General features: G+C 37.1%; 1 protein-coding gene across 11 annotated transcripts in view, besides 1 other annotated feature; it reads left to right on the top strand.

Moving 5' to 3' along the window:
• LEF1 (lymphoid enhancer binding factor 1) overlaps positions 1-12,833 on the top strand; it is a 121,385-nt gene that overhangs the window by 37,882 nt on the left and 70,670 nt on the right. The window lies entirely within an intron of this gene.
• Positions 12,322-12,601: an enhancer, noted in NCBI's record as "active region_21795". NCBI's record gives its function as "activates an Ori minimal core promoter by ATAC-STARR-seq in GM12878 lymphoblastoid cells {active_cell/tissue: GM12878}" and the evidence as "EXISTENCE:reporter gene assay evidence [ECO:0000049][PMID:35858748]".

Genomic DNA, 12,833 nt, shown 5'->3' with positions numbered 1-12,833 from the left:
TGGAAAATACACTGAGACTCCTAAAAAAAAAGATAAATAAAAAATAACCTGGGAGGAAAGATACAGTAGTTTGGTGAAAAGCTTCCTAGGTGATTTAAATTAAAGAAAATATTTCTCTTTAGCACCTTACTACCACCACCACCAAAATGCAGTAGTTTAATATTGTTCAAGAAAAAAAATTTTGTATGCCTCATTAATTTTCTTTCTTCACTTGTTAGTGGAGTGTTTAAGTTCTAAGAAGCAACTTGGGAAGGGCAAGGAAGGGAATGTGTTATTTTACATTTAGTAGCAATTTAACTGGAAAGTCTTTTTTTTTTTTTTGAGTCGGAGTCTCACTTTGTTGCCCAGGCTGGAGTGCAGTGGCATGATCTTCGCTCACTGCAACCTCTGCCTCCTGGGTTCAAAGGATTCTCCCACCTCAGCCTCCCTAGTACCTGGGATTACAGGTGCACACCACCACACCTTGCCATTTTTTTTTTTTTTTTTGTATTTTTAGTAGAGACAGGGTTTCACCAATTGACTAGGCTGGTCTTGAACTCCTGACCTCAAGTGATTTGCCTGCCTTAGCCTCACAAAGTGCTAGGATTGCAGGCATGAGCCACCACGCCTGGCCTGGAAGGTCTTTTGATGAGCCATAAACAGTTAATAATATCATCTTAGGCTGATAGTGCAGCATCATAGGACTGGCAAGTAACATAAGAGAGCATTCTTGTGCCTTTAAGGATCTCATCAAAATTATCCAGGTAGATAGTTATCTGTCAAACTCTTAATGGTCTCATTTAAGGAGAATCATATAAGCAGTCTTAAATAACTGGTTCTGGTCACCAGTGTTATCATCTGTCCTCCTCTTTTTTTAGCCTTAATTCCAATTGCTGCTCTGCATGTCCTTGTATGAAGGGAGTGATTTGAAGGGCTATTTTAGCTCACCCTAAAACTCAAAGGGAAGTATATGAAGTAGTATTTTCCTCTAGGTGATTATTGGAATTGATCTTATGGAAGAAAAGAAATGAAAAATGGGATCACTATTGAATACCTTGGTTGTCATTCACCCTGTAAATAGTATCGTTACTCATAACACAGCTTAAGAGGACCATGTTTCTTTCCTAAATAGACACCATTTGTTATTGGTACTTGAGAAACACTAAGAAAATTGTTCAAAGCATACACAGTGTGATTCCTATGTGTAATCACAATGTGATTATACCCTACTAAGTACCCAAATTTGTATCACATTTTTTGTGCCTAGGATTTGCAGCCACCTTTTACTAACATAAACTAAGCATGTTTCTAACTTTATTCAACAATTAGAATGCCAAGGTATGACCTTTTTATTAATGAGGAATATTTTGTTATTGAAAAGACTTACAGAGAATGAGCAGAACAACCTTAGTTTCGTTGTTTATGAAGTGGAACATGCTGGCAAGGTTTTTGTTCTCTATCTGGAATTTTCTCAGAATCCAGAAAAGTGTTGTTTTACTTGGATTGTTCTCTCTCTCCTTTGCTTCTCCATTATTCATGAAGGACCATGTTTTTATAGAACAAAGCATTCAAAATTTATGCAATCCATACATGTTTTGAGTTTCTAACTATTACAGGAAAAATTATTACCCTGAGGCTTAGAGAAACCATGATTCAGTGATATTTTTTCTTCCTAAAATTATAATTTGCTTTGGAATTCCAGTGCTCTTGGAATGCTAGAGGTAAAGAAAGCATTCTAATTGGCCACTGGTTCTTGGGAATGGAAAGGGTTTGTGTTTTTTGACCTCCTTCTAGTGATTTGGTTGACTAATCTACATTTTATGGTAGAAACAATGTGGAGTTGACCAGAGCTCCATATACTCAGAAGGACTTTGAAGTGACCCCAGTCCTGCAGAGGTGTTAAAAGGAACTTTCTGCTGTGTATTCCCATAGAAGCAGCAGATTCAGTAATGAGAGGAGTTTGAGGAAGAATAGAAGCAGAAGGGATGTCCTGATTCAGCTTTGAGTGGTTGGAAAGGAGGAACTGATGAAGCTGGTGCCCAGTGGACCCTCTCCGGGATTTTTCCTGGCCTGATTTTTTAAAGTAAAAATGTTAGCCTGTAATTTGGTAAATATTCTTTCATCTGTAATAATATTTATTTGATTGTTAGAGACAACCACTTATGATGGACATTTTTATGGGTTTCTTCTCTTCTTCTTTGTCTTTTAATCTCTATTAAACCAACAACAAAGGAAATATATTTAACTGTACTGCCCTGATAGAGAACTCTTCTCATGATTTACAATTTTTTCTAGTCCTGCCCATATACATAGGTATTGTGTACATTTTTTAGTCTTACCTGATTAGGATTATAATAATCAATAGGTTCATACCGATTATCTTTTCAATAGGTATGGCTTCTGTATCTTTATGTATTTGTTTGCTAGCTCAAATGAACATATTTTACATGTTAGAAAAGAGCTCCTTTAGAATCAGCCTTAAAATAAGTAATGTCTTTCCAAAGGGCAAAAGAAAGTCTAAATCATAACTTCAGTCATCAGTTTATCGTAGAAAAAAAAAAAAGCCCTTCCTCAGTCTGCTTTTTTCCCTTGAGAATTTTAATCCCACCTTGTTTTTCTGCCAGTGACTTACTGATATCTTGCCAAGCTTTTATGAAGTTTTTTTAATGATAAATAATTTTGTTTATGTTGTAATCATTGACATTTAGGAGCTCTTGTTCCACTTTGTTCATCTTTTTGTTGTTTTTCTTAAACCCATAACCGGTGTTTAGAGGGCAGGACTGAAGATTCTTGTGAAGGTCCTGACTTGATTGCTGGACTCTGCTGCCACTAGTAAAATTTCCTTGGTGAGAACTCTGCTCCCTCCCAAATAGGTGAATACTCTCACTTTCATAATAGAGTTTGCATGTGTATTTATTTTGAGACTCTGCCATTCTCTCCTGAGAATGGTACATAATGGTACATATTTATTATGTCTTTGAACTAATGCACTGAACTTACTGGTATTCACTGTATTTATCAATTCAAATTATGCAGTGAATACCATTATTTGACACAATAAATATAACACATAAGCAAACCTCCAGTGGTTGGAGAGTTAAGGAAGTAGAGCCTGTAGGGCTGAAATGGTCAGGACAGACCCTACAGAGAGGATTCAGGGCCATGTGGAAACTCCAGAAAAAGGGATGCAAGGACAAACACCCAATCCCTGACCTCATTCTTTTTGCCTAGTCCCAAACCCTTCAGATCTTAAATTTCTGTTTCCCATAATCCAGACTTTTTGTCTTGTACAAGCTACATACCCCCCTGTTGCATCTCTAAGTTCTCTTGACTGTAATTTTCCTGCTATTTATATTCCTAAAATCTTTGGTTTCCTACAGTCACGATAATTTATTTTCCGCTTAAATAAGTGAGAAATGGCTAGATACTCTGCCAAAGTAAGTGAGATGAGCTATGAAACCTGTTCAGAATACTAGCAGTAGTCCCACTGAGGTGGTTTTCAAGTAGAAAGGGAGAAGGAGAGAGAACATAACATTTATGTCAACACGATTGTAATTGTACATAATTTGTCATGAGTGAATCCCTGGGTTTGCTTTTTTCTTGCCACTTCTTTCTCCAGTTCTCTCTTTAGCCTATCCCTGGAGAGTCACATGAGATTCAGCTTCAGTGATATATATAGCAGCATTCAGGCAGTAAACATTTCCGTAGATGCACAACTTTATAAATAACATAAGTAATTTGTAGATATTTTTATTCCTTTAGCAGTCTCCTAGATTAAAGGGTTTTGACATGACATGAGGAGCCTTCCCAAAAAAGAACCCAAAGAATTAACTTGTCAAATGAGAAGTCCCACGTCTGATCACTGAGCCTCTCCCCAGTTTTAGCATTCTGTTCTTGGCCTCTGGGCCTTCACCTGCACTGTTTTTTTCTGCCAAAATGAGCCCCCATTACACATGAAAAACTCCTACTTCCAGCTCCTATGTCTCCTGAGAAGCATTCTTCTAGCCCCTCATTGGCCATATAATTACCCCTGTAGTATTTAGTCGATGACTCACATACAGCATTTTCCACATTGTATCGAACGTTGTTCATTTACATCTCATCCCCCTCATTAGATTACATACAGATTCTTAAGGACAGAGATCATGTTTGTATGACTAGCCCCTAAAATAGAGCTACACACACACACACACACACACACATATCAGTAAATAATAGAGTAAATGAATGACATTTTCCACCTATTCTTTTTTTTTTTTTTTTTTTTGAGAGAAAGTCTCCCTTTGTCACCCAGACTGGACTATATTGGCGCGATCATGGCTGACTGCAAACTCTGCTTCCCGGGTTCAAGCAATTCTCATGCCTCAGTCTCCTGAGTGGCTGAAAACTACAGGCATGCACCATCATGCCCGGCTAATTTTTGTATTTTTTAGTAGAGACGGTGTTTCACCGTGTTGGCCAGGCTGGTCTCGAACTCCTGTCCTCAAGTGATTCGCCCTCCTTGGCCACCCAAGGTGCTGGGATTACAGGCCTGAGCCACCATACCTGGCTGCTTTTTCCACCTAATTTTTATTAAAAAAGAATAAAAAAATCAGGAAATGAGTATTTTGAGAAACTATTAAGTTATAATTTATCCTAATTTATGATTATTCCAATTGCATTTTATCCTGGTTCTTTTAACCACTTTTCTTCATTCCTATCACACCCTAATGTACATACCAAAGACACAAGAAGATCAAATTCTGTAATCAGTTTAAGTCCTAGTTGGGGACTTAGATGAAAAATTTTCAGTGGAGAGATTGCTAAAACTGACTAAAATGACTTCTAAAGACTTATAAAAATATCCATGAAATCTCTGGTTTTTTTTATTACTGTCAAAAATCTAGAATTGGCTTCTTATTCATGTGTATTTTGCAATTAAAGAAACTTATAACTGGAGCTTTAAGTCCTTAGTGGAAAATGGAAGAGAGTTTCAGAACATAGTTATGACCACTAGACTCAGGAATAGGACTATTTCCTGAAATAAACAACAAAAGTAAAAAAATTCCCTATTCCAGTAAAGTTGTTTCATGTACATCTAAGTACTTAAACATTGTAATTGGCAGGTTATGGTTAGTTTTGTGAATTTTGTGAAAAATCTGATTGGTGTTAACACTGTTATGATTAGTAACTTTTCGAACTTAGAGTTTTAAGTAAAACAACATTTACTTTTTAGGATCCATAATACACCTAGGATTACCTTATACATGAATCACTGCACAGTCACACTGCTGTACTTAAACTGTTGTGGGTCAGTTGTTTCCAAAATTTGACTACTAAACTGTTTTCCCAATATGCGTGCTAAAAAAAAAAAAAAATCCCAAGGTGTGTTATGTACCAAGCAAGTGATTTTTCTAGAACTTAAAGTTGTAAAAATCCCTGTAATATCATAAAAACTATCAGCAATATGTACATATCTGCTGAACTTTCACAAATTTTCATTAATTTATTCAGTAAATTCTCAAACACTAGATATTTTACCTGTAATAGTGGAAAACTGGAAAATGATAGCATGTGGAAGGATATAGTTAAAAGAGCTCGAGTCATACTACTGTAAATAATATTGATACGGCCGGGTATGGTGGCTCATGCCTGTAGTCCGAGCTCTTTGGGAGGCTAAGGTGGGCGGATCACCTGAGGTCAGGGGTTTTAGATGAGCCTGGCCAACATGGCAAAACCCCATCTCTACTAAAAATACAAAATTAACCAGGCGTGGCGGTGGGTGCCTATAATCCCAGCTACTCAGGATGCTGAGGCAGGAAAATTGCTTGAACCTGGGAGGCAGAGATTGTAGTGAGCTGAGATTGCGCCACTGCACTCCAGCCTGGGCGATAGAGCAAGACTCTGCCTCAAAAATAAATAAATAAAAATAAATAAATAAATAAAGGTACACAGATGACAAAATTATATTGAATTGATAAATGCAGTGAATACCAGTAAGTTCAGTGCATTAGTTCAGAGACATAATTACTGGCCTATCATGGGAAAATATGTTGGTATGTTAGAATTCTAAGTCAGAATGAGCTAAACTCTATATGATTAGCCTTTTAGTAGAGAGGTCATTTCAGATATAACCAGTCAAGAATAATGACTCCCACGGGTTGGTAACAGCTATGCCCCATCCAAGTGTATGGAACAAACCTAGTGATACCTAGAAAGGAGTGTTAGAAAATCTGTTTTAGTCCTAGGTCCAAGTTGACCTTTGGACAAATTACTTGAAGACAAAAGAATGTGGAAATCTGCAAAAGCTCTGCAATCTTAAAGTGTTTTCATAACTTTTATGTGGTGGCCCAAACTGACCAAAATTAAGACTTTTTATAGCCTTGTCTTTCCTACTTGGATGTTTCGCTAAAGCAATGTTCATGTTCCGGGCGCGGTGACTCATGCCTGTAATCCCAGCACTTTGGGAGGCCGAGGCAGGTGGATCACAAGGTCAGGGGTTTGAGACCAGCCTGGCCAACATGGTGAAACCCTGCCTCTATTAAAAATACAAAAATTAGCCGGGTGTGGTGGCGTACACCTGTAGTTCCAGCTACTTGGGAGGCTGAGGCAGGAGAATCACTTGAACTCAGGAGGCGGAGGTTGCAGTGAGCCTAGACTGCACCATTGCACTCCAGCCTGGGGGACAGAGCAAGATTCCATCTCAAAAAAAAAAAAATGTTCATGTATCTGTTTAAGGGGTATATACTCCCCACACTTTGCTGGGGGTGTTACATAATATATAATGTGCATTCTGTATTTTCATATATGTGAATATTTTGGAAACTGAAAAAATATCTGGCTTTGTGGGTTTCATCTAACACATATGGACCAAAATATCAGTTATCTCATGTAAATTAGAATAATAATACCATACAATCTTGCTAAGAGAAAAGTTTTTTGTTTTTAATTTTTTAAGGTAGAGTCTCTCTGTTCCACAGGCTGGAGTGCAATCATAGCTCACTGAAGCCTCAACCTCCTGGGCTCAAGCTATCCTCCCACATCAGCCTCTGGAGTAGCAGGGGCTACAGGGGCATGCCATCACACATGGCTATTTTTAGTTTTTATTTTTTTGTAGAGATGGGGGTTTCTCTATGTTGTCCAAGCTGGTCTTGAACTCCTGGCCTCAGGTGATCCTCCTGTCTCAGCCTCCCAAATTGCTGGGATTTACAGGCATGAGCCACTGCACCTGGCCCAGAAAAGTTTTTGATATCAGATTATAGATTGTTAATTTTAGATTTAAAGCTGATATTAGGCATCTTAAAAATTGGTGTTCTGGCATTATGGTAGATGTGATACCCTAAGCAACATCTGCTGAAGTAAACTAAAAATATGGAGATACATTTTACTCACACACACACACAAATATCACATATACATAATACATACTCACAAACATGCATACACATATCCAATCTGTAAAGTTTTTTCCCCAAAATATACATTTTGAATGCATCCATGAGCGGACTGAAAGTTAAGGGTACTCAGAAAGCAGTAAATGGACCATTAAAGCTGGCTGTTGTAGAATGTGATGAACCAGGCTTCAGATTCTATCTTGTAGGGTACGCAGGATAAAAAGTAGACTAATAGGTTTAAAAAAAAAAAAAAAAAAAAAAAAAAACCAACCCTAGCAGAAAGCTGGGGTCCCAAAGGCTATATCTTTAGAGTAAAGGCAAACTAGAAATAAACCTACCTTCCCAGGGAACTGCAGTGAAAATTTCTTGTCTCAAGTGCTGTCACTGACTAGAAGAAGAAAAATGCTGTCCTGAGAATTATAACTGCAGCTGGCTTTCATGCAGGTTTGCAGTCTTAGTTCATATTATCAAGGGTGACCGAAGGACCCCAAGCTGAGAATTTCCTCAACAGAGATCTGGTTTTGTAATGCTCCACAGCATATGGCAGAAGTGAAGACAGATTCATTCTGGAAGCACATACTATATAGGCCTCAAGTAATTTCTGCAGATAAACTTAAAAGAAATGGACACTTACAGTAAAGAAAAAGAAAAAAGAATAGAAAATCACAACACACAGGAAACATGGCCCCATGAGCCAAAGTCAACATATGCAGTTGAGTCAGACAAAAATCTTTAAATCTGTGTTGTCGTAAGTGTTATCCAACATGGTAGTTACTACATGCATGTGACTGTTGAGCACTTAATTAGTGTAACTGAGAAACTGAATATTTACTTTTATTTAATATTAAGTTAAATAGCTACATAGCTGATGACTATTCCATTGGGCAGTGCAGCTTTAGAAAATAGAATTATTGGCTGGGCATGGTGGCTCACACCTTTATTCTCAGCACTTTAGGAGGCCAAGGTCGGAGGATTGCTTGAGTCCAGGATTTCGAGACCAGCCTGGGCAACATAGTGGGACCCCATGTCTACAAAAAATAAAAATAAAAATAAATTAGCTGGGCATGGTGGTGCACGCTTGTAGTCCCAGCTACTCAAGAGGCTGAGGTAGAAGGATCACTTGAGCCCAAGAGGTCGAGGCTGCAGTGAGGCTGCAGTGAACCACTGCACTCCAGCCTGGGTGACAAAGTGAGACTCTGTCTCAAAAACAAAAACAAAAATGAATGGGTGGTAACAGCAGATTAGACCTGACTAAATTAATGAAACGAGGGATCTGAAGAAATTATGCAGAATTATAGAGACCAAAAGGAAAATTATGAAAGGTATGAAAAAAATACGCCATGATCAACCCAGAATAAGCTGATGGAACTATGATAATAACAGATAAAGGAAGATATAATTCTGAATCATTATGCATATAATAATGTAACTTTAAGATCTATAAAGGAAAAATGGACCAGAACCACAAAGACAAATCTACTTTCTAGTAAGAGATTTCAACTTATCTCTATCAGTAGTTAGTAAATCAGCAGGAGCCCCCTACCACCTTAAAAAAGTAAATAGGCTATAAAAGATTTGAACAACCATTAAGATTGATCAAATGGGTTATATGAGCTGCTATATCCAACAACTCTAGAATATAAAATATTGGGCCATGAATAGTGTGTTAAAAAACTTCAAAGGATTAGTTGTGACACAGACCATATTCTCTGCTCAGAAAACCATTAATTTAGAAGGAAACAACTAGAAAAACCCTTATTTATCAATAAGGAAAACTCTTCAAAGGTCAAAGAAAAGATTTCAGGACTGAATGGTAATAAAAAGTTTACATATCAAAACCAGTGATGTGCAGCCAACAGGTACTTAGAGGAAAGTTATGGCATTAAGTAGTTATACCAGCAAATAAAGACTAAAAGGTGCAGTAAAAATGTGGTGGATCAAAGAGAATGAATGAGGCATGAAGAATGATTGTAGCACAGTGCAGGCAGGGACTAGTGGCCTTTGCTGCTAGCAGTCCTTTGGCCCCTGTATTTTTGGAGAGTGCTCATTGACATTGTTAGGTGTGAGTTTTTTAAGATCTTGGCCAGAAAATGTTATCCAAGTTATTGGCAATAACTGGTCTAGCAAGTAAGAACATGAAAGTGACAACTCTGTAATGCCCGAAATACTGAGGTGTAATTGGCTTGTGCATTGGTATCTGTATTTTTCCTCAAGAGTTAAAAAATTCAGCTCCTTTTGTTGAGTATATCAGTAGCAGCAGCATTGGTTTAGTAGGTAGATTCTCAGAGTGTAGTGTCTGTACCTCTGGGGTCCCTGAGACATTTTTAGGGGGTCCATGAGATCAAAACTCTTTTCACAATAATACTGTTATTTTTTGCCATTTTCACTGTGTAGACATTTGCACTTGTATGAAAACAATGCTGGGAAAACTGCTCATCACTTAGCACAAATCATGGCCTGGCACCAACTGTAGTAGAAGTTCTTTAGTTACTATATTCATCACCATGGACTCTCAGTTAAAAAATGCTAGTGTCACTTAATAAAGCAGTAGAAGTTATTAATTTTGTTAAACCTAGGCCCTTAAGCACATGTGTCTTTTTAATATTCTAGTGATGAGATGGGAAGTACATATAAAGCACTTTTACAATGTGGCAAAGTGCCATGGTTGTCTCGAAAACACCAGTATGATTGAGTTTTTACTTTGCAGAATGATTGACAGGTCAGCTGTGGCTCTTCAGACTTGGTTATTTGGTAGACTTGGTTATCAAAAGTAAGTGAAATGAGCCTATTGTTTTAAGGAAAACAGTTATCAAGTACAAAATTCAAGCTTTCAAATACAAATTAGAATTTTGGAAATCTTGTATTCCGCAACATAAGCTTGACAGCTTTCCTATCCTTTAATGTCTCTTCTGATGAGTTCAGTGGTGATATTGACAAATGTGATTGTGGTATTATATAATGAAACAGGTAAACATTGGGAAAATCTACATGACTCAGTAACCCAACATTTTTCAGATGATCAGTGTTTGTTGCAAAATCACATGTGGATGAGAGATTCAAAGTGTAGGACTTTGATAGATTAATGGATTTCAATGTAACAGAGTAGGAAAAGTTCACTGATGGTTTCAGATTCCACATTGCAGCTGACCTTTAAAAAATTACTGCTTTGTCCATTGTATCAAAGAAGAATATTCATAATTATCTTAAAAAGCTATTAAAATAATTCTTTCCTTTCCAGTTATATATCTGTGTGAGGCTAGAATTTCTACATATACTTCACAGCAAATTTTATGCAGAAGCAGACATGAAAATTTAGTTGTCTTCTATTAAGCCAGATGTTAAAGAGGTTTTCAAAAACATAAAATGGTGGCTGGACACAGTAGCTCATGCACATAATCCTAGTACTTTGGGAGGCTGAGGCAGGAGGACTGCTTGAGTCCAGGAGTTTGAGACCAGCCTGGGCAACAAAGCGAGACCCCATCTCTACAAAATATAAAGAATTATCTGGGGGTGGTGGCACATACCTGTAGTCCCAGCTTCTTGGGAGGTTGAGGCAGGAGGGTTCCTTGAGCCCAGGAGTTCAAGGCTACATTGAGCCGTGATCACACCACTGCACTCCAGCCTGGGTGTCAGAGTGAGACCCTTCTTTTAAATATATACATACATACACACACACACACACACACACACACACACACACACACATATATAAAATATACACATATAATGGTACAACTTCCTATAAAAATATTTATGTTCACATGTAACAATTTAAACAGATTGTTTTTTAAGCAAATTAATAAATATTTTTTAATTTTCTCAGTTTCAGTTTCCAATATGATAAATATTGATAGATATAATCCATATAAACAAAAGCTCCCTGGGTGTCCTCAGTAATTTTCAAGATTATAAATGGATGCTGAAACCAAAAGTTGGAGAACCACCAGTTTACTAAGTCAAACTTTTAGGCCGCCTTATAGGAAAGACTTGAGGCTACCAAATGCACAGGTACATATGTGTTTCTTTTTGTAATGAAGGCTATCGTGATGGGGCAGATCATTCAACATACTCCCAAACAGGCCACATCCTGAAACTGGCAAAGACCTTCACACCTTTTATTGAGGGTTTTTTATTTTAATCTTTTGCCTTACAGTGGGACTTCCTGAAAAGTGTGGTGATTCTCAGTATTTCATTTTGTACATTACCATAATACTCTTACATGACATTTTGAGCATCATAAATCTGAACTCTATTATTAGGTTCAATATGTAATATGGACTCAGAAATTTCTTGAATGAAAATTTATGATGAGAATTAGTCATATCCCTAGGGTTTAGTCAGTGAAAACAAAACCTCAGTGTGTGCATTTAAAGGTGATCAGGAATAGAAATTATCTATTCTAAATGAAAGGAAAAAAGATAGAAAATTTCCCCATTTTAACAGAAAACAAAGACAAATGATTTAGAACCCAAGGACTGACTTTTCTCCTCAATATGTGATTTTCCATCACCTGATGTTGAACTTTTATCTCGTATGTGGGAGTTAGCTTTCAGTTCTACACTTATAATCTGTATAGCTGACCTGCTTGAAAGGCAAAGAAATTGAAAAAAAATGTTTTTTAAAAAATCTTATTTTCATGTGTTTTTCTTTGGTGTAAGTTGCTTGACTGTATTTCATCACAAATCATGTACTGTGCGGTATAGTTCCCTCACAAGGATGCATGATGTTGAATATACACAAAAAAATCTTTGTTTGAAAAAAAAATAGTTAGAAAGTTGGTGCTTTAACCAAAAAGAAGCTCAAGAATAGATTAGACCGTAACAACAAATTATGTAAAACAAAACCCAGAAAACAGGTCTGGTGGACGTTGTGTGTTATACTGTCTCATTAAAGAAAATGAGTCAAGATTGATCTAATTAACCACACAGGTTCAGTACATTTTACCTACTCGAGCAGGCTGCAGTGGCCATCTCCTGCCACAGCTGTTTGTTTAAATTGTTCACATGAGTCATACTGAGAAAGAGCCTTTAAAAAAAATAGGTAAACAAACTATTTGAAATCTCTGTCTTCTACCTGACAATCATCTAAGAGAAGCATTGTAATTATGTACTTGGGAGAGTCCCTGGCCTAAGGCCTTTCTAAACCTGAGGTGGCCTTACATAGATATTTAGAAGTAATGTCTTTTCACATGTCATTCATTGGGTGTATAGTGTTTTATGCAGTCTTTTACCTTCATGTTAGTTTAACTATAGCATGACAATTCACAGTTCGCATTAAGCCTAAGTTTCGCACTCAAAATCATTTTTGTATAAAATGTATGGAACTTGACTGTTGACAAATCGATCTGTTGAGTATTTTTATGTCACTGTTTAGCAAATGCAGAAATGTAGATTTGTGAAAAGATGACTAGAGATGAAAGCATGAATTCTTTGCCACCTTCCAAGTTAGCAGTAAGTATTAATAAGCTCATCTTTTAGAAAA

This window comes from Homo sapiens, chromosome 4, assembly GCF_000001405.40.
Source record: "Homo sapiens chromosome 4, GRCh38.p14 Primary Assembly".
NCBI lineage: Eukaryota > Metazoa > Chordata > Mammalia > Primates > Hominidae > Homo > Homo sapiens.
This window is presented reverse-complemented; position numbering and strand designations above follow the sequence as displayed.